General features: G+C 46.4%; 1 pseudogene, besides 2 other annotated features; it reads left to right on the top strand.

Moving 5' to 3' along the window:
• Positions 426-626: a silencer, noted in NCBI's record as "peak438 fragment used in MPRA reporter construct". NCBI's record gives its function as "represses an SCP1 promoter by STARR-seq MPRAs in K562 erythroleukemia cells {active_cell/tissue: K562}" and the evidence as "EXISTENCE:reporter gene assay evidence [ECO:0000049][PMID:32103011]".
• LOC100420658 (post-GPI attachment to proteins 2 pseudogene) lies at positions 8,317-8,847 on the top strand (annotated as a pseudogene).
• Positions 21,703-21,812: a silencer, noted in NCBI's record as "silent region_1505". NCBI's record gives its function as "represses an Ori minimal core promoter by ATAC-STARR-seq in GM12878 lymphoblastoid cells {active_cell/tissue: GM12878}" and the evidence as "EXISTENCE:reporter gene assay evidence [ECO:0000049][PMID:35858748]".

Here is a 22,833-nt window from a genome sequence, read left to right as displayed (position 1 = left end):
GATGCTTTCTCTCCTCCCATCATAAACAACACAATGCCCACCTGCAAGTGGCCTCTGTATCCTGGCCCTTGTCCCATCTCAGCCTTCCACTGTGCAGCGGGTGTGAAGCGTGGGTGTGGTAGAAAGGAAAGGAGAGGGATGGGAAGGACAGGATGAGGGGAGGAAAAGAGAGGAGGAAGGGGAAGGAGGGGCACCTGAAGAAGGGCTAAGAGGGTGTCAGCAGAAGACTGAACCCACAGGGTGGTGGCATGTGGCACCATCTCTGCAACGCAAAAGCATCGGCACTAGGGGAAATCTTTATTGTTGCCTGAAGCATCTTTCACTGCACCATGAGGGCCAGGCTTTCCCCAGTTGTCTCAACTCATATTCTGACCACATACCTGGGCACTGAGGAGTGTGGCATCTCAGTTTGGGAACCTTGGGAAATCTGTCCCCAAGGAGGCTTCCTCTTTCCTCCTGACCAAAGCTCACCACAAACTCTGGAAGAATGCCCCACAGTGTCCAGAGGCCACTGTGCCATCCTCTCCCCAGCCACAGGACCCTGGACAGCTCCCTGCAGCCCCTGGGGCCCCTCCCTTTGGAGGTTTCCAACAAAGTTACAGTTTGCCTCTCTTGGATTTCAGTCACATCAACAATAAAGACAGATTTTTAAAAATAAATTTGGGGCTCTCTGATCCACAGGCAGGGTTGGTATTCTGAAGAACACAAGGCTCTTTAAACATGGCTCCCACGTCCCCCTCGAGTTGCCCCATTTATCATTATGACAAGATGTTTATTAGCAGCACAGCAGTAAATGGTGAGTGAACATCTGAAAACAGGGCTATAAAATTCTCTAAATCACAACTTCGCACAGGCAGCCACCAGCACTGGGATGAGCCTTCCCTTCATGGCTCTGGAAAGCAAGGCCGATCTCCATCTGCACCAGGGTCATTTACCCTGCTTAGATGCTGTGAAGGGCTTTTTCCTAGGTAGACTCACTTTGTCTCTTGCCCATTTCATTTACACAGTTCCTAATATATGCCAGACGCTGCACTCAGTGCCACAACCTGAAAATGGCCCTAGACTTATGGGAGCTCACAAGATATATGCAAGTGGCAGAGCACAAACACAACAGCATCCTTTGCTCTCTGAAGAAGCCAGGCCCCTCTTTGTGTGTGTTTGGGGGGGGGGGGCTCCATTTATTTATTTATTTGCTTCTTTATTCATTCATTCATTCATTTTTAGAGACAGTGTCTGGCTCTGTCACCCAGGCTGGAGAGCAGTGGTGAATCACAGCTCACTGTAGCTTCAAACTCCTGGTCTCAAATGATCCTCCCACCTAGTCCTCCCAAAGTGCTGGAATTACAGGCATAAGTCACTGTGCGCAGGTCCCCCTTCTTTCTGTCTTTCTGTCTTCTACTAACCACCACGCCCCCTATGGTCATACTTCTTAAAGAGGATCTAGTTTGTATGTGTCCTGAGATGAGCTTAGCCACTTATTCCTGGTCGGTGTTACTGGCGATCTTCCAGAAGGCTCACCTGGCACTACCACATTCTTATAGGCCACAGAGAGGAGGATTTGGTTGGTTGTAGAAAGATTCATGGAGCTTCTATATTATCTTCATAGCAGAGGCCACATCATTGTAGTTCTTCACCTGCACAGCCTGCTGGGCTTGCTCCTGCAGATGCTTCCAGTCTCCCATGTCACTCAAGACACAACGTGGCAGGACACCTCATGCCTCACATGTCAGACTTTGTGCATCCCATCTCCCACACTGCGGGACCCACGGAGCCACCCACCCCAACCTCCTAGGCACACACACTGGAGGGCCCCTGAGGCTTCTGCTACAGGCAGGAAGGGAGGGTGTGCCGCTAGCTCACCATGGTCTACCTTATGAGTTCTTCCTTCCCCAGCAGCTGCCCAGAGGGTCCAGGTAACACAACTTAGAAATATGAAAGGGCGAAGGCCCCATGGGGAAGAACCTTGGCTGATCAGAGTAGGAAGATAGGGAGGAGAGAGTGGATCAGTTCTCCCCTCCTCCCAACAGACTGTTCCCAAACAGTGTTTCTGTTCAACCTCTCCTGAGACCTACCATTTGATGGCGCAATAGCTGGGCTTCTTGGTTAAACTGTAGCCAGTTTGGTAAAACAACTCTTTGTATTTGCTTTTTCTCATTCCCATCTCATTTCCCCTCTTCCCTCACTCTCACCTCCCTGGAATTGTACTCCCACACCCCTACAGAGCATGAGCTCATAAACTTTGCTTCAGGTTCTGTTTCCTAAGAAATTCAGGCTAAGACACCTCTCAACAATAAATGACCAAAAATAACTTCCTTCCTCACAACCTTCTATTTACCCTGCTCAGCCACTCTCCTCAAGCCTGCTCAGACTTTGCCTGGCAGCCAGCTCCCTGCTACAGGGTGGAAGAGGAAGCCAGGAACTTTTCAAAAGGAATCACAATGGAAGGTGAAGAAAGGTCACTCTTCAATAAATGGAATGAGATCCTTTATCAGCCTGAAGGACCAGGCTCCACACTGATGGGCAGAAGCATGCCCCAAGCTGGGGCTTACACAGACACGTTTCCCAGGGATGATGGTTTATGTTGGGGAGAAGACGGGAAAACCATGAGGTCTCCTTCAGGGTGGAGCACCATGAGCCCAGCTGACCTGGGATGGGGCAGTGCCAGCCTTGGTGGTGCTTCTGACATGCTTGGCACTTTGCAGAAGGTACAAAAGTGAATAAGCGTCACGCTTCAAAATTAGCTATTTTTAGCATCGTGTGGCTTTGCAATTATCTTTGTCTGTTTTGTTTTATTTCTTTACCAGATTTAAATAACTAGAGGAATTTTCTCCAACTTTTTTTCCTTCTCTAGCAGGTATCCCCAGCAGTCAATTAATGATGAGCCACTATAAAACGCCTAAATTAACCAATCTTCAGTCTTCCTTTACAAGTTTTTTTTACTGTTTTTAGATGAATGTACGATGAGAAATTCAACAATAATTTTGGATTTTCTTATAACAAAAAAAGAAAATGAAGGACCTGAAAGCACCAGAACAGTTTACCAACCATTTTGAATTTATTTACCTTCATTTGAATGTCTTCCAGAATATGTAAAAAGTAATAAAATGTATCTTCCATACTACATGTACAATAAGAACTTCTATAATTATATATATACGCCTTTGATGTATTTTCCCCTCAAGATTATCAACTGTGTGTTTGACAGTGAAAATTAAATCTGTTATCAGTTGAAATTTTTGGTTATAAATGTAATAAGAATTGTTTCACAAACAGAAAACATGTAAAGCAGTATTAAAATTTGGCCAAACAAGGGTTCTGTATCTACTCTAATAAGTGGTTATTCTTTTTTTAAAAAAATAGCTATTTTTGGCCCACACACATCCCAAACCTCATCAAAACTGATTCAGACCCATAGTCAGGTCAAGCTCCCATTGTGGTAAATGACATGCTCTTACAACACAACTCTCCGATAGACAGGGAAAAGTGTTAGTCCACAAAATGGCCCATGCTCTGAGGTATAAGGTGAAAGGCCACATTTGCAAGAGGAATCTACTTTCAAAACATGTATTCTGTGCTTACTATATATAATCAGCCTAGAGGCTGAAAATCCACAGATGTATAAGCCCCCAATTCTGACTTCAAAAAGTTTACAACTATTTCAGGGCACCAACACGCTCACAGTTTTAATATGACGTGGCATCATAATAGAAATGCAAAGTGGGAGCAAAAAGGAGGGTATCAGGTCTAATCAGGAATCTAGGTGAGCTTTCTAAAAGAATGTATAAGAAGCAACCTGATAATATCCGGTGATACAGGACAAGGGACTGGCATATGCAGAGGCTTGAGGAATTAAACCATTCTGAAAGCTCCTGCCTAACATTCCATGGAGGGTTCCTCATTCAGAAGCCCCTTGCTGCTGCTACTGCTGCCGTTCCCACCACCACCACCACCACCAGCAGCCACACTCTACAGTGACATAATCTAGGAACCTCCACGTCTGTTGGGGGTACTACTCACCTCTGGCCTTTTCTCCCAAAGCGTCCATGAGTATTTACTCTACTTGTTACATGGAATACTGGATTGGCCAGGCAGATACATAAGAGGCCTCACATGCTCCCACCAATAACAGTGGCTCCCTAAGGCAGTGATTGACAGTCTCAGGGGGGAGGGCCAATAAGGCAAGGGATTGGAACATAGGCAGTATGAAAACAATAAATCCTAGGGGAGTTACTGGAAAGGTCATGAGGAAACTTTCCAAGAAGATGGAAAAGTTCTATATCCTGGTAGAAATGCAGGTTACAGAAGCATACATATTCATTTGTCAAAACTGACTAGTTAAAATATATGTAAATACATTTTGTATACATTTATTAAAAGGTAATATTTATCTTCAATGTATATAAAGATTACCTTTTAAGAAACTGTAAAAAGATAACAATAAAACCAAGTGGAGTGTGGGTAGTGGGTCACAGGATGGATGAAACAAGAATGGCCAAATGTTGATAATTGTGGGAGCAGGATGATGGATTCATATACCATTGTGTTTATTGTTTAGTGTGTGTGTAAAGACTGTATTCTTTGTCATGCATGGCCACTGAAGTCTCTGTTCTGTTATGTTAAGTGGTCAGCTACTGAGATGACAGAGGTGTCCTTAAACACCTGGAGCCAAAGAAAAATGAAAAACTATCCTCCCAGTCTTTGTATATTGGTTCTGTGATGGGGCACTTCTTCAAACACAAGCCATTTACGATTCTGCCTTAGCCTTCACTTCCTGCTTTCAGGGAACCTACAGGTCAGCCAGAAGTGAAAGCTTGGGGTCTCCTCAGGTCTTCCATGGGCATGTGTCCAGCCCTGAGTACGTGGTGGCCTTCTAGATTCCCCAGTATGCACAGGAGCTTTTCAAAGCCCTTACTCCCCCATGTATCTCCTTCCCTAGCCACCTCTTCCTTCCTAGGATTACCCATCTACTGCTCGCCCTCACTTTTATCCCTTGCCACAGGTGGCTGCAGCTTTTAAATGCTTTCGACCAGCCGCTTCGGCCCTGAGAAAGATCCAAGTCAAGAAAAACAAAGGCAAGCCCTGAGCCTATCTTTCAGGGAGCCACCGGGCAGCTTAAAACATACAACCAAAATTCTTTGAAAATAAGAATAAGATCATTGCTCCTGCTAGTACCAGCAACCTTTTCCAGGAATATAGATCACTGTCTTCACAGCTGCTGCCGAACTGAGTGGGGCTTGGTGAATAAGTTAAAACAACCCAGTGCTCTCTTCCCCAAATTCAGCAGCTTCTTTCTTCATTCATTCAACCAGCATTCACCTATTTGTTGTAACTTTTTTTAATTGGATTCCAGAGCTCTGAAAATTTTGATTCTGACAGTTTTTGCCAGTTAAATCACTGCTTTAATGGAAACAGATTTTTAAGTTCCCTAGTCATTTTCAGTGACATCACTCTTGTTTATTCTGTATGTGTTTTGATTCTTCTATAGTAAAAAGTTTTATAAATGCCTCAGGTAATTCTGGTAACAATCATTTGCCCTTATCAAGGTTTGTTAAGATCACTAGTTTAAATGAACTCTGGCTCTCCTTGTGATTTGAGTAACCTTTTTTAAGAGACCAGTCTTGCTATGTTGCCCAGACTGGTCTTGAACTCCTGGACTTAAGCCTTCTCCTGAGTAGCTAGGACTACAGGAATGTTTTGCTGTGCCTGGCTATTGATTTGAGCAATTTTAATTTACACTCCCTGTCATCTTTAGACTTAACCAGCCCTAAAATGACATTTCATAAGTGTCCCTGAAGCCTCCAGGCACCTCATATCCCTGTGTCCATCAGGGCAGCCTGTGTCAGCCAGTTCTGGAGCATCCAGAAATGATGAGGCATTTCACAGACCCCACCAAGACTCAGTGGATGGGTGCTGGTATTTCTCCTGCCCAATTCTTTTTTTTTTTTTTTTTTTTTGAGACGGAGTCTCGCCCTGTCACCCAGGCTGGAGTGCAGTGGTGCGATCTCGGCTCACTGCAAGCTCCACCTCCTGAGTTCATGCCATTCTCCTGCCTCAGCCTCCCGAGTAGCTGGGACTACAGGCACCTGCCATCACGCCCGGCTAATTTTTTGTTTTTGTTTTTGTTTTTTCAGTAGAGACGGGATTTCACTGTGTTAGCCAGGATGGTCTCGATCTCCTGACCTCGTGATCCACCCTCCTCTGCCTCCCAAAGTGCTGGGATTACAGGTGTGAGCCACTGCGACCGGCCTCTCCTGCCTAATTCTAAGCATACCCCTCTTCCGTCTTTCTGTGTCCTTGCATCATTTTTATCTTATGACAAGCAGTACACAGAGGGAATTGCAATAAGCACATCCACAATACCAAGGACTACTTATTAGTAAACATGTTTGGTTTTGTCATTGTCTTATTTTTATCTTAATCAGTGTGAATGTTACTTACTCCAACTTCCCAGAATCTTCACCCGACCCTCAGCAGATAGGGACCTGAAGGATTAGGCTTTTCTCCCCCTGAACACACTTCCAGGAAACTTTTCAAACAGCCACATACACAGCTAAGCAACTCAGTATTTGTGAATGCTTTTTCTGACCTTCTCTTTTTCTTTCATTTAACTACTTTAGGGGATGTTTCTGGCCACCTAGAGGGAACTCTGAGTAACAAACAGATCTCCATGTGGTTGTTTTTCCTGAGCCAGATGCATGTAACACCTGGCAGCTGAGTCATTTGGGGAAAACAGCTTCTTGTCACACCTCTCTGATTCCACCAGCCCAGGGAATCACTGGAGAATCCAGAAACAGTGGCATGGAGCTAGGCATTGCCAACTCTTACTTTTCACAGAACTATGGGGAGTGTGAAATGCTGCAATCCTTCTTTTCCTTTTGTATAGCTTCTTGGTTTCATCTCAGAAGAACAAGATGGGAATGCATTCCTTTCATTTGTTAATATTTTATTAATGTGCAACTCTACATACATAATGCACATCATGCTATTCCTATGCCAAAAAGAAACCCCGAGTGTCTCCTCACTGCCAGTAAATTAAGCCCAACATCTTTTCAAGTTTCAAACAAGCTAAACCTGGTATATTTTTCTAATTCTATTTTGTAGTGTGTAGAGTGCTGTAATCTAGGCAAATCGACCACCATCCGCTTTCTCTTTTGCCCCAGACTGTCCCTCTTTTACGATTTTGCTCATGCCATCCCCTCCACCTCAAGTGTCCTCTCATCCTGTTGTGGTGACCATGTACCCAGCCATCCTTCTGGAGTCAGGACGACCCCAACCAACTCAGGGCTCACCTTCTTCTCAACCCCCATAGCACCTTGGGGGTGCCTCGCTTACTCCATTTTACATTCTGCTTTGTATTGCAGTTTTGACGAGTCTGTCTCTTCCACTGTGTTAAAAGTTTCCTGAGGGGAGGGAAGGTGGCATAGTCACTTTTGCTACTGACAGTATCTCCTACGTACCAGGGATTCAAAAATGTTCACCTGAATGAATGTTAAATGAGAAGAGAATTAAATGGCATGGCAGTCATTTCTCTTGGGCATCAAGCATCCCCCAAGTGAAACTAAATTTGCCTTCTTGCAAGTGCTTATTTAGTGCCTGTGAAGCTCTTGCATTTAGTTCCCCAGGTCGAAGTCCTGACCAGCTAGTGTAGTGCTCATGGAATTGACTGATCAATGCCTAAGGGATTAGAAGAACTCCATTCAAGACACACTGACTCTTCTCTTACTAATTATCTTCAGTGTCTCCTGAACAAATTGCTCTGTAATCAGTAACTTCATCCTCTGCACAGAGCCTGGGCTTAACTTAAGATGTCTGAAAAACAGCTTTGTCCTCTCCCACCTCCAACAGGGATAAGAGGGCGGTAAGCAGGCCTGAGAATGGGGCCTTAACACTAAGTGGGTTTAACATACAGACAGGAAGGCTCAAGAGCTCAAAGGACCCTTCACGACTATCTAGCCCAATACTCTCATTTTATTAGGTTGCTGCAAAAGTAATTGCTGTAATACACACTAGGAAAATGCAGACGGAGGAAGGGGGCCACTTCCCCAAGGTTATGTGGTTCCTTAAAGGTAGAACTAGAACTGGAACTCTGGAGGCCTGATTCCCAAGACCGCGCTACCATTAATTACACAGGTATTTTCCCTAATCCACCTCAGCACGCAAATCAGCTGGTGTTTTTGTTAAGAAGAAAGAATCATGAAGACTTTGTTCTGCGGGATTATCGGAGTCAAGGAATACAGGCTAAATAAGTGGCAAGTTTCATGCTTAGACGTTCCCGCCCCTCAGCCTGGCCCGGGTTCCCCCTACATCCTGGCTGCCACTGCCTGGGTGCCCATCTGCTGCCCTCGAGGAGCTGGGCCGTGGGCAGGGAGGCGCCCCAGCGCTGCGCGTGACGTTTCCACATGTCTGCTCGGTGGCCTGAGCCTCCTGCAGCCACTGACCCAGCTGCACCTCCCAGTGTTCCTGGCATCTCCCGCTCTGCCCCCTCAACTTCGGCCTCGGCGGCGTGGAGAGCTCGTGCTGGCCCTTGCTCGCTCAAATCTCCTCCAAGGACCTCATGGTCCCGAAAATGCTTTCATTGTGCTACTTGGTCGCATGCGCCTCGCCGCATTCTCCGGCTGACCGAGAAGCACACGAAGGCAAGTCCCAGGCTGGAACAGCGGCTCTGCATGGTCGGCACATCGCCTTCTCAGCACTGGCTGTCTACTTTGGGCATGTGTATTGCTAGGCTGGGGTGTGCACCGTCTTTGCCCGCCTGGAGTATGCTGTCCTCCTAACCAACATAGGGTTCAGCATGGTGGGACTTCCGGAGCGAAGAGCATACCCTCTTGACCTGAGGAAAAGCTATTCTGAACCCTTCAATCCTGCTTGGGAGGAGGCAGCCCACTGCCCGGAAGCCAGAAACAAGGTGCTGCTCTACTCTGGTCTTCCCCACCCCGCGTCCTCTCTTGTCCCTACTGAAGACAGAGGTGGGGTGAGACAGAAGGGCAGAGGCCAAAGCTGACTCCAGTGCTGCTGGCCTCTCCCCGGCCCTCAAGCAACAGCAACCCTACCTGAGAAGCCCCAAGAAGTTGAGCTAGCAGAGACCTCCACCATTTGGTGCTGAAAAGAGTCCAGAGGCTCATGACCACCATCCAGTTTTTGGCCTTTACATAGCCACCTTTTGCTGAGGTCAGGCGCCCCTGGGCAGTGGCTGCTCCCTGACAATCACAGCCATTTCTCTCCACAAGGTCATTCACATGTCTGATGTATCTCATGATATACTGTGCATATCCAGGCCTGGGGCCACAGTCCCCTGCTAAAGCTGCTCAGGTGGTGTAGTCCTGACCTTGCCTTTTTGATTTGGGGTGTGCCTTAGGGTGCATATCCTTCCCTATCTGAGCCTCAATGTGTCCATGTGTGTGATGGGGGATGGGTGTGTTATGTGATTTCCAAGGCTCTGCCAGTCTGTGGTTCTGATGTCATCGATGAAGGTGGTGTTCTGTACCTAAAGGATGACCCATTCCAGAAAAAGCACCAGCACAGCATATATTTCCCTTCCCTTCTGAAATTTCTGGCTTATAGACCTCCCCTCCTTTACAAAGGTATGGGGTGGAGGGATCAGACCCACAGGTCCCTACCCTGAAATGGGCTCCCTGGTATACCCCTGTCTTCCCTACTGCTCCAGGCCCTGAGCTTTTTTGGTTGTACATTTTATTTTAAAGGAAAATAATGTTTTTTGCCAACAACAACAACAAAGTTTCATGCTTAGGAGATGGTAAAGGAGGGGCCTTTAAGAAGAAAAAGAGAATTTGTAGGTTGATGGTGGAATTGCAGAGGGGAGTGGAGAGGAGTTCAGTTTTTGAAATGGTACTGCAAGTAACATAGTAGTACAACAAAGTGTTTTATGATCTAATTGGAAAAACTAGACTAGGGCACTGCAGGCCAGGTCTTAGAATTAAGCACTATTGGCAATGGAGGAGCGAAAATGACCATGATTACTAAATGACTAGTAAAAGCTTCTTGGAGGAGGTAGTGTTTGAGCCAAACCTTGAAGAAGAGCAGGACTTAAATGGGGCCACAGAGGGGTGCGGAGCAAAGGCAGTTGGGCGGAGGGGTGATTTTTAGGGACATTAGAGACCAGCTATCCTCAATCAAGAGATGAGGAAGTCTGGAGAAAAAATGTTACAGTCAAAACGCTAAGAAAACAATGCTTTTCAGTGGTCTATCCCTCTTCCCTCCTCTTGGTGCAACTTACACAACTCTGCACACTTACTTTCCCGCCAATATCACCCAGCACCTGTTCAGAGCAACACCCCACTTGGATCCCTCCTGCCCTAGACAACTCCCATATTCTCAACCTGCTCAGTCCCTCTCCCCACTAATTAGTTAACCAGTGCTCAGGCCTTACTGTGTGCCAGAGCTTGTGCCAAACAAATGACATGTAACATCTATTTTGGTACTCACAGTTTAGCACTTAATAATAGTTATTATTATCTGCATTTAACAGAATAGTGAATCAGGTATGGTAGGCCAAATAATACTCCTGCCTCCCCCAAAAAAATCCACATCCTAATGCTTAGAACCTATGAATATGTTATCTTACATGTTAAAATATGTTGGCTGGCACGGTGGCTCATACCTATAATCCCAGCACTTTGGGAGGCCAAGGCGGGCAGATCACGAGGTCAGGAGATCGAGACCATACTGGCTAACATGGTGAAACCCCATCTCTACTGAAAAAATACAAAAAAAAAAATTAGCCAGGTGTGGTAGCGGGCACCTGTAGTCCCAGCTACTCGGGAGGCTGAGGCAGGAGAATAGCCTGAACCCGGGAGGCAGAGCTTGCAGTGAGCTGAGATTGCGCCACTGCACTCCAGCCTGGGCAACAGAACAAGACTCCATCTCAAAAAAAAAAAGTTACAATGGCACTTCGTAGATGTGATTAAGTTAAGAATCTTGAGATGGGAGATGATCCCAGATTCACTGTGTGGGTCGATGTAATCACAAGGGTCCTTATAAGATGAGAAGTAGAAGCATCAAAGTCAAAGGGAAAATTGATGATGGAAGCAGAATCACACAATTAAGTCATGCACCTGAAGATGGAGGAAGGTGGAAGCCAAGGAATGCAGGCAGCCTCCAGAAGCTAGGAAAGGCAAGGAATTCAATCCTTCCCAGAGCTTCCAGAAGGAACACATCTCTGCCAAACATCTTGATTATAGCCTGTAAGACCCATTTCAGACTTTTGACCTCTAGACTGTAGGATAATAAATTTGTGTAATTTTAAGTTCCTAAGTTTGTGGTAATTTATTACAACAGCAGTATAAAAATAATACCCTGGGTTTACACAACACTTGCGCTTTAGCAGAGACTTTTACTACCTTAACTCAGTACAGTTTCTTCAAACAAAGGAAATTTTGCAAAATATGGCAGGCCAGTAGGGGAGACATCTCTGTGTGTGTGTCTGTCTGTCTTGCAGAGTATGCGTGAGACGGTGTTGTAAGAAGTAGCTGTAAGAGTGTTTGAAAATTCATCATAATGTCAAACAATCTGTTCTAATGGAGAGAATTCCCCAAGCAGTCAATGCCACACCTGGAATGAGATTCTAACCAAAGTACCTAAAGAAACCTGGTCAGGGCTGGGTGCAGTGGCTCACACCTGTAATCCTAGCACTTTGGGAGGCCGAGGTAGGTGGATCACCTGAGGTCAGGAGTTTGAGACCAGCCTGGCCAACATGGCAAACCCTGTCTCTGCTAAAAATACAAAAATTAGCTGAGCATGGTGGCAGGTGCCTGTAATCCCAGCTACTCAGGAGACTGAGGCAGAATTGCTTGAACATGGGAGGCAGAGGTTGCAGTGAGCCGAGATCGTGCCATTGCACTCCAGCCTGTGTGACAAGAGCAAAACTCCATCTCAAATTAAAAAAGTAACCTGGTCAGAATGCACCACTCAGAGACCTCCCTCCTACTATGGTTTTACATCCCTCTCACTGCCTTTGTCCTAGAATCAGTGGCTGCAGTTTTTGTTCTCCAGGAGCCTGCTGTCAATCTGACTAATTAGGTAGGTGCAATGATCAGGAATGGGAACCACAAAAGGAAAATTGCTGAGCAGTTGGCTGCCCATTAGAGAAGAGCTATGCCTATCACTCCCCATTAATAAAAGAAAGGTGGGACTTTGCATGAAATCTCAGCTCTAATATTGCCTGGCTCATTTTTATCGTCCATAAGAGAATGTAAGCAGGAAATTCTGGGACAGTTCAAAAGCACCGTATTATATAAGATTTACTTTGCATTCAACAAGGCAAAGTAAAGTTACTGTGCTGATGGTTAGGTGCTGAGGTACCTGACCATTTTGTTTTCAAGAAAATGTAATCAATTACTTGGGGAAAATACAAAGATTTACCTATGATATGATGAAAATAACACTTTGCCCCCTCTGGTCTTCCTCCCAAAAACCCATACCCTAGTCTAATCATGAGGAAAAAAATCAGATAAATCCCAATTAAGGGCATCCTACAAAATAACTGACCAGTTCTCCTCAAAACTACTGTATGGATTGGCAAGTACAGAGATTGCCATTTCCATAGTGTGTAAAAGCTCTGGCTCCTGCCTCCACTGGTCCCTACCACAAAGCCCTCTGCAAATCTTAGCCTCAGGGTCCATGTGGGCAGCTCTCCTAATTTCAGAAATAACCACCGTAAACAAACACAAAGACTTACCTGTGCAGGATTCAGGAGACATGATCTTGAGCAGGTCATCTGCCCTCTGGAAAGCCATCTCCTCACTTGTAAACTGAAGAAATTGGTTTAGGTCAGCACTTGTCAATTCTAACTGCATACGAATCACCTGAGGACCTTGTTAAAATGCGGATTCTGACTCAGTAGATTTGGAGTGGGCCTCAAGAGTCTTCACTTCTAACAAATTTCTAGATGAGACAGACGCTTACTGGACCACGGACTGTATTTCAAGAAGCAAGGGTCTGGATCCTTGGTTCTCAAAACTGGGACGATTTTGACCCACAGGCAGACATTAGGCAATGTCTGTAGACAGTTTTGGTTGCTACAACTGGAAGGCAGACCTACTGGCATCTAGTGGGTAGAGGCCAGGGAAGCTGCTAACATCCTACAATGCACAGGCCAGTCACCACAACAAAGAATTACCTGGTCCAAAATATCAATAACACTGCTGCTGAGAAACCTTAGTCTAGATCAGTTGTCATCAGAATCACCTGGAGGATCTGCTAAAGCACTGATTGCAAGGCCCCTCCCCAGAGTTTCTGAATCAGTGAGTCTGGAAGGGGCCTGCGCCTTTGCATTGCTAGCATGTTCCCAGGACGCAGTTGGAGAACCGCTGGTCTTCATGACTCAGATCCTTGCAGCTCCAGCACGCTTTGCATCTCCCACTGCCCACACACCAGAGGCCATGACTCCTCATTCTAAAACACCTAACACAGCCAGAACTTGTTGGCTCCAAGGTAGGAACTGGCATCTTTCCCCTGTGACAGCTTTAGATCCCGAGATGAGGCAAAATCAAGGGGGAAACCAACTCCATCTTAAAGAACATTCCTGGTACACCTGGCCCTGTGTGTAGGTGGATCCACTTTTAAATGAAACTAACAGCCCTTCTCCTCCTGAGGCTAAAAACAAAGCAATGGAAGGACAGTTTACACCCAATTTTGTTGCCCCCTGCCCTCCATTTTTGTTCTCCACAGATGACTCATTAAATGTCAGAACGATGTACAAGGAAACAGCTAACAAGCAAATAAAAATAGCTGTCTGTCTAGGATGACATGTTGGCAGGCCCATGAGATGGCACACAGTGAGACTCCCCACCCAACCCTTCCATTCTCACATGAAACAGCACAGAAAAACTGTCCCTATTAATCCAGGTGACCTAGGAGTGAATACACATGCCCTCACCTCCCAGCTTGCCCACTTCTCTGAGTGACCCTGGAGAAGTCACTTCACCTCTCAAAACCTTGGTTTACAATCTGTAAACGAGAATGATACAAGTACTTCATGGGTTACTGTGAGGCTTGATGCATGAGGCAGCCTATGTTATTGACCCCAACTATGGGCCAGCACCATGTTAAGCACCGGGGCTATCACAGTGAACAGAACAGACTAAAATCCCTGCCATGCTGGTTCATGGTAGGTCCTCGACACTTCTTTTTCAAGATGGAGTTTCACTCTTGTTGTCCAGGCTGGAGTGCAATGGCACGATCTTGGGTCACTGCAACCTCTACCTCCTGGGTTCAAGCGATTCGCTTGCTTCAGCCTCCCAAGTAGCTGAGATTACAGGCATGTGCCACCACGCCTGGCTAATTTTATATTTTTAGCAGAGACAGGGTTTCACCATGTTGGTCAGGCTGGTCTCGAACTCCTGACCTCCGGTGATCTGCCCGCCTCAGCCTCCCAAAGTGCTGGGATTATAGGTGTGAGCCACTGCGCCTGGCCCGACCTCAACATTTTTTGTTAAATTTACCTTAGACAAATTAATGAGGGCTTCCTCTCCCTAAGAGATCAGTCAACTTGCAGCCTCCAATCCACTCAGAAAGAAAAGCTCCAACAAGCCAGGTAGCCCGAAGCAGAGGAAATGGAGTCAGTGAGGCCTTTTTCATGATTAATTATTTTTTGCTCAATATGGCATGGGCCGCAGTTCCCTGAGCTTTAAATATTAAGGGTTTTATTATGACTATTTCATTACTCTGAGCAGTACATTGCAGGAGACAAAGTTACTCAGTGTGACCAAAGCAGGAGGTGAGGCTGGCTGGTGTCAGATGCCCAGTGCTGTTGGGTGGACAGGGAACTGGGAGCTGGTGAACCACAGTCAGCTGAGAACTCCCAGCTGGCAGTGGGGAGGACAGGATGTATCTCGTTCATCAGTGGATATATGGAGCAGGCCCCATTTGTGCCAGGGACTGCGCAGGGCAGAGGGGACACAGCAGCTCTCTGGGCACAGGTGTCAAGTGGTTGGCTCTGCAGACGCCTGCCAGACCCAGGCCCAGGACTCCCAAGGGCCAAAGAGGACTTTCTGGTGAAGGCTCCATTTAGACAATGGCTGTGAGCTCTGGCTGGTCAACACAGCAGGTCAGTCTGAGCCTCTACAGGCCCCAGATCATGGATTCTGTCAGGGGGCCAGCAGCCATGAGCCAGCCTGCCCTAGTCCACCTCCTTTCTTCCAGCACCCCAGTCCCCTGGCCTTTCTCTCCCTGTTGCCCCTTCTTCCAAGGGAACCCCCAGTGTTCGTGGTCTTTTCAGTGATTACCCTGCCTTTGTCACTTTCTCCCTGGACCCACTCCCTATGTCTAACTAAATGTGACAAACTCTTCCCCAGGGCTGGGATCAGAGGATGCTGACTTGCTAGTGTTATTCCTCTGAAACACTGATTCGGTAAACATATATTCACATTTTTCGTATAGGTCTTCTGGAGGCTATTTTTTAACCCCAGGGAATGATGGATGCAGAAAGTTGCAGCACCAGCGAACAACGTGAGGGGACAAAAGGTCAGATACGGGGAGGAAAGCATTTGTTTCCTGCCACGATAGGCTGCTAAGGTCACAATAACCGTAAGAGGTAGATATTATTTAGGCAGATTTTTGCAAATGAGGAATCTGTGGATAAGAGAGCTTTAAGGGACTTTCATAAGTGTCACGCAGCTAGGAAAAGACCCAGCCAGGATTTTCCTAAAATCACATGCCCCATCATCCATGAGAAGCCAGCTCTTTAGCCCCATGTGCATGGCCTCCTGATAAAGTTTGGGATTAGGAAGCCCAGAGAAGTGAGACCTCTCTAATACACGTGCTGAACCTACTCCCTCACTTTCCCTCCTAGCCCCCCAAAGCCCCAGCATGTGGTTGTAGCTATAGCAATTGGAGAAAGAGGTCCAGCAGCAAGGTGCAGCCTGTGCCCATGCAGGAATGAAAACTGTTCAGGTGTCCCCTGACAGGAATCACAGTCCAGACCCAGGTCAACTCTACCTGCGAGTCTGAAGGCCAGACCCTGATGCAGGACAGCTGGCCCTTGGCATCACTTCTCCAAGCCCTGCCTGGGGAAGCGGGGCTCACTGAAGCTAAGCTGGCCAACTAAAGCCAGTTTCCGCCTAACAGCTGGTGTAGTGCCTTCATGTGTCTGCCCTCCTGGGTCACATTTGCATTTTAACAGCCACCTTCATGTTGCCCCACTGGGGGGCAACAGTTGCAGGGCAGGGGGCAGGGTGGGGAAGATGTGCTTGAGAGAAAAGGGCGGCCTTTCCTAGACCTGGAAACGTTTTTGATTTCCCAAGAGCTATTTTTCTATTTCCTACTCAAGCCTTTTCCCCCCTAGGCTGCTCCTCGCTTTCTTTCTACTGCAGCAGGAAGGGCTCACAGCTTTCAGGGCCCCCTGCCTGTCTTCTCTCTGGCAAGGCAGCTTAGCCTCAGCTGGGGCTCCCAATTAAGCAAGGGCTCGGGCTAATGGGCTCCCTCAGCTCTCCCTCAGGGCAGTCTGGGAGGGCTCCCTTCCGCCCTTTCTGCTGCATCCCTGACACTGTGCCACTCTCCTCTACCCTAGCCCTACCACACACCTCCCCAAACCAGCCTTGGATTCCCGTATCTCAGATCAGTGCCTTTGACTACTACACCCCTGCCAGCTCCAGGACTGATTGCTGATCATGGCCTCCACTGACCCCTCCCCTGAATTAAGTGATGACCAAATCACGCCCCCCACACCCTTACACACCCATAGTAAAATTGGAGAGGCTCTGGGTTTGGTGCTTGGTGATTCAGGTGTGACTCCCAGCTCTGCCACTTGTACGAGTGACCTTATTCAGGACATGTCATCTCTAAGTCTCAGTTGACTCACCTGAAAAATGGCAAGGCAACCAATACCTGCCTACTTCATAGAGTTGTTATGAAGGTCAAATAAGATTATGCATTTAGGAGCCCAATAAATAATACTCCTGTCTTCTCCTCCTGAATTCTGAGAGGAGAAACATGATTTAAAAAAAAAAAAAAAAAAAAAAAAGACTAAATTGAGGCAGAGTACGTTTTTTAAAATCAATCAGTCTTGGCTGGGCACGGTGGGTCCCTGTAATCCCAGCACTTTGGGAGGCCGAGGCGGGTGGATCACGAGGTCAGGAGATCGAGAGACCATCCTGGCTAACACAGTGAAACCCCATCTCTACTAAAAATACAAAAAAAAAATTAGCCAGGCATGGTGGCAGGCGACTGTATTCCCAGCTACTCAGGAGGCTGAGGCAGGAGAATGGCGTGACCCCGGGAGGCGGAGCTTGCAGTGAGCAGAGATCACGCCACTGCACTCCGGCCTGGGTGACAGAGCGAGACTTCGTCTAAAAAAAAAAAAAAAAAAAAAAAAATCAGTCTTATTAATAGAGCTAAATTGAAGAACATGGATTAGATTTGGGGCCAAGGGGGCTTCCTGGTATGTCTCTCCTGAATGCACATGTGAAAGCAGAAGGCATCACAGGCCTTCTGGCCCTGCAAAGCCCAAGCCTGTGGAGTGTAGCTGTGGCAATTGGAGAAAGAGGTCAAGCAGTAAGGCACAGTCTGTGTCCATGCAGGAATGAAAATAGTTCAGGGGTGCCCTGACAAAAATCACAGTCCAGACCCAGGTAGCAACTCTACCTGCGAGTCAGAAGGTCGAACCCTGATGCAGGACAGCTGGGTCTCTGGGCATCACTTCTCCAAGCCCTGCCTGGTATAATGGAGTATACCATTTTTATCTCCAATATACACATCCAAGACCTGTGGCTATTACTTGTTACAGAAGAGGGCACTAAGGCCCAAAGAGATGAAGCAACTTACCTAAGCCCACACACCTAATAAGCTGCAGAGCTGGGATCTGAAGCCAATTAGTTGATTCCAGGCTCTCACCACTAGTCTGGGGAATGCCAGGGCCTGGCTAAAAGGCAAGTGACTTTGCTGCAGTTGGAGGCGGAGGCATGGGACAGCAACTATCTCAACCAAGGGATCATGCTTATACTCTTCACTTCACCATCTCACTGCATTCACTTATCCATTCAGTAAACTTCTATCGAGCACTGTCCTGTGCTAGACCATCTTCTAGATCCTCAGGACGCAGTAGAAAACAACATAAGTCCCTGCTTACATTCTGGCGAGGAGACAGACCCAGAAGAACTATCCGCAGAGGAAAGGCAAGTACACAGATAGAGACTAAAACAGATAAATTCAATGAAAAACTAAATCAGGGTTAAGGGATGGGCCAGTCAAGGATGGCTGCTGTGAGTGTCACATCCAGCAGAGACCCAGTACAGTAAGCAAGTGTGACTATCAGGGGAAGAACATTCCAGGCAGAGGGAACGGCCAGGGCAAAATTCCCAAGAAGGAAGCAATGCAGTCATCAAGTACCAGCCAAGTCCTGTCAAGTAAGGCATTGCGGCTAAAAAACAGCAAGGAGGAGAAGGGTAGGAGGTGATGTCTTAGAGTTAGTAGGGAGTTATGGGGCATGGATAGGGGTGATATGTAGTCTAGTTGATCACAAAAAGGACTGGGTTTTATTCTTCAGTGTGTCAGAAACTGGGGGATTATAGAACCAGTGAGTGACTTGATCGAATTTACATTTTTAAAATATAGCTATGGCTGTTATGGGGAGAACAGGCTACAAAGGGCAATAATGGAAACAGGGAGCCTAGTCCAGTTATGAAGCTATTACAGAATTTCATCTGGCACATAATGGTGGCTTGTACCAAAGGGTAAGCAGTGGAAATGTTGAGAAGTGGTTGGATTCTGGATGTATTGTGAAGGCAGCAGGGTAGGTATTGTCCCCAGGAAAAAAAAAAAAAGGGAATCACAGAGCCCAGAAGTAGGAAGGGAGGATGAATGCACCAGGTGTAGGGTATCCAGTTATCAAAACCTGAGCCCACTCTGGAAGCAGCTCCCTGAGCCTGGCCTGGGATCTCTACATTGGATGCACCAAACAACACCGAATGTCCAAGCCAAGGCCCAGCCCCAGCCATGGATCCACCCCTGGTTCCTCACCCTTCTCCTGTCAAGATGGCAAACCAGATGCACCATCTAACACTTGCTGTGTATTTTTCAAATGACATTTTCCCAGTAGTGAAAACACAACATGGCACTTTAATGCAAGATGGTGGAACAAAGGAACAACTCTGGGGGGAGGCATCTCAAATCCTCAAATTCAAGGAACCACACCATATATCCCACAGAGAAGCCGGTGACGCTGCATTTCAATCAATATCCCTGAGCACGGGCTTGCCAGGTGCTTGCTGCAATACCAAGGCACACATTACAGAGGGCTGTGCTCCTAGCCTGATGGTAGAGAGAAAGAGAGGGATAAACTAAGGGTCCAGTAGACTGTTCACCAGGGGCTGCAGGGACACAAGATAAACAAAGGCTAAAGCGAAGGATAAACCCAGGGTAAGGAAAAGAGTCTTCAGTGTGTGCCCTGAATGAGATTTGGTGATGGGGGTCCAGGAGGAGAAGATCAGGTAGGGCAGTGTGTGAGCAGAGACCTGGAGATGCAAAAAGTCATGGAAGCAGAGTAGACCCATGCAGGGAGTAGTCTAGTGCATCCTGAGCAACAGAAGCTACAGCAGACACTAGTGTTTACTGAGCAATATGCTAAGCCCTGTACTGAGAGCCTGTAGGCATTCGCTCATGTGTTCCTCACCACACTGTGAGGCAGGCATTATCATGGCCCCATCATGTGGGATGAAGAAACTGAGGCTTGGAGAGCTTAAGTGACTTGTCCAAGATTATACAATTAATAAGAAGTGAAACTTGGATTTTTAAAAAATAAATGTCTTTTATTGAAATATTTTACAGAAAAGATTGCAAATCCTAAGTGTACATCTCGAGAGAGTATCACAAAGAGAACACACCCAGTAACTACCACCCAGATCAAGAAACAGAATCTTACCATTCTGAAGCCCCTCTCATGCCCCTCCCCAACCCCTTCCCTTCCCTCCTCCCCACAGTAAGAACTATCCTGACTTTTAACTCCATAGACTAGTTTTTGGAGTTGAGGTTTGCATCCAGGTCTGTGGCCAGGATCTGTAGTAGGCACAGTAATAGGTGGATGGCTGTCTGCAGTCTGATAGGGTCTGTGCAGGATTGCCAAGATTGTTTTCCCCAGCTGCATCCCATTCTGTGCTGTTCTCCTTCAATTTCCTTGGGGGGGTGGGGGCGGGGGCTTGTGGGAGACAGGTGCTAGCTCTAAAGAGGACCTCTGGAAACAAGTGAGGGAGCCACCTGTGTCCAGTGTGGAAGAGAGTCCCTTCCTGTGCTCAAGGAGCTGGCTATGCACTAGGCTGCAGTCAATGAGGTTTGCTACATCCCATCTTTAGGAAAATATGATTTAATGACAAGAATGTCCTTTTGGAGAGAGCAAATCAATAGCTCTGGGCAGTATCTTTGGACAGGTTTAGCCATATTCTCAAAGTAAAGGGTTTCAATCTGTGAAATGTGAAGAAAACTCTATAGTCATTACCAAAAAAAAAAAAAATAGACTTCAGTTAGTCAACTGGATAATAAGACTCAAGACTCACTCCCACCCCTCTATCCCACCCCCTGGCTCGTGTTCTGAAACAAAAGCAAAAAATAAGCACAAATTGTGCTGAGAAAATGATTAGCTTGGGCTCCTTTGAAGCCCTAAGTCACAAGCATCAGCCCATCTGCCGCTTGCCTTCACCCCATATTTTAGCCAAATCTTCACACGGAATTCCATGGTCCCAGGCTTTGCTGACCACTCCCCTCTCAGGAAGTCTTCTGTTTCCTCTGTCCCATCATTCAGATCAAGATGGACCTCTAACTTTCTCAAGTGGCCTCCAGCAAGATTCTGCTCTCCTTACCAGACAGTCCTGACTGGGGTGCTGTATTGCTAACTGGAAATAGCTTAAAGGGTTGTCCCTCTCGGAGGCAGCATCCTTCCTCTCAAAAGCTACTCTGAGTTTAGGGAACAGCCACCTTAAGGGAGACTTAGGCCAAGCCACAGAGACAGGTAAAATGAAATGTGGATGCTTCCATAGCATCTAAGTTGGAAATGTGCCTTTAAAATGCAGATATCAGCTGGGCGTGATGCCTCACACCTGTAATCCCAGCACTTTGGGAAGCCAAGGCAGGCGGATCACCTGAGGCCAGGAGTTTGAGACCAACCTGGCCAACATGGTGAAACCCCATCTGTACTAAAAATACAAAAATTAGCTGGGCATGGTGGTGAGTGCCTGTAATCCCAGCTACTCAGGAGGCTGAGGCAGGAGAATTGCTTGAACCTGGAGGGCAGAGGTTGCAGTGAGCCAAGATCGCACCGCTGCACTCTAGCATGGGCAACAGAGTGAAACTCTGTCTCAAAAATAATAACAATAAATAAAATGCAGATATGAATGACAAGGTCCCAAATAGGGATATTATAAGGAAACACAAACCCAGGCTAAGGGCCGAGGTGCTCACCTGCTGGTCAGGTGAACAGGGACTTCCACGGAGTAGCTCCGTGGAGAGCCGAGCACTGTAAAGATATCCAGGAGGGAGAGGGTTGGAGAACAGAACTCAGTCTTTGAGATAGCATGACATGGGGGAGGCAGCAGGGTGTAAGGGTATTGGGTTTACATTCTGCAGGCAGAAAAACACGGGTTCAAATTCCGGCTTCTCCATGTATTGCTGACGACATAATTTACTTAACATCTCCTAAAGCTCAATTCCCTTTATGGAAAGAGGGGTAATTCAATCTACCTCACAGGATTCAAATGAGGTTTAAAACAAAACAATGCATTTCAGTGACAGGCATACAGTAGAGGCTAACTAGATAAATGGTTGATGAACGAAATGAATGCGAGAAATTACAATTGCGCCCCCTGGTGAGGTTTTGAAGCCTAGCACATTGGAGAATGACAAGCACATGGGAGATAGTGTCATTACAGGATGTGTCAATGTGTCATGGCCAATACTTACACACACACACACACACACACACACACACAGTCTACCTCTGCCAGATTCTCCTTGCTGCTACAGCAGCAAATAGAAATGACCATGTATTAGTCCTTTCTCCTTATTCTCACACATACACAAATGCAACCAAGAGAAAAATCTCCACATCTAAGTGTGTCCAAAAGTCATATCCAAGTTCTGTATTATCAAATATCTATTAGCAAACTCAACAAAAATAAACGATGGAGAAAAGATTCCCTATTCAATAAATGGTGCCGGGATGACTGGCTATACATAGGTAAAAGAATAAAACTGGACTCCTACCTATCACCACATACAAACAATAACTCAAGACGGATTAACGACTTAAATGTAAGACCTCAAGCTATAAGAATCCTAAAAGAAAGCTTAGGAAATACCCTTCTCAATATTGGCCTTGGCAAAGAATTTATGACTAAGTCCTCAAATGCAACTGCAACAAAAACAAAAATTGACAAGTGGGACCTAATTAAACTAAAGAGCTTCTGCACAGCAAGAGAAACCATCGAGGAAGTAAAGAGACAACCTACAGAATGGAAGAAAATATTCACAAACTATGCATCTAACAAATGTCTAAGACCCAAAATCGATATAAAAACTTAAATCAATAAGCAAAAAGCAAATAACCTCATTAAAAGTTGACAAAAGACATGGACAAACACTTCTAAAACGAAGACATACAACCAGCCAACAAACATATGACAAAATGCTCAACAACACTAATCATCAGAGAAATGCAAATCAAAACCACAATGAGATACCATCTCTCGCCTGTCAGAGTGACTTTTGTTAAAAAGTCAAAAAATAACAGGTGCTAGCAAGGCTATGGAGAAAAGGGAACACATATGCTGTTGGCAAGAATGCAAATTAGTCTAGCCACTGTAGAGAGCAGTTTGTAGATTTCTCAAAGAAGTT

The sequence above is a fragment of the Homo sapiens genome, chromosome 1 (genome assembly GCF_000001405.40).
Source record: "Homo sapiens chromosome 1, GRCh38.p14 Primary Assembly".
Lineage (NCBI taxonomy): Eukaryota > Metazoa > Chordata > Mammalia > Primates > Hominidae > Homo > Homo sapiens.
The sequence above is the reverse complement of the archived record's forward strand: the minus strand, read 5'-3'. Positions and strand labels throughout refer to the sequence as shown.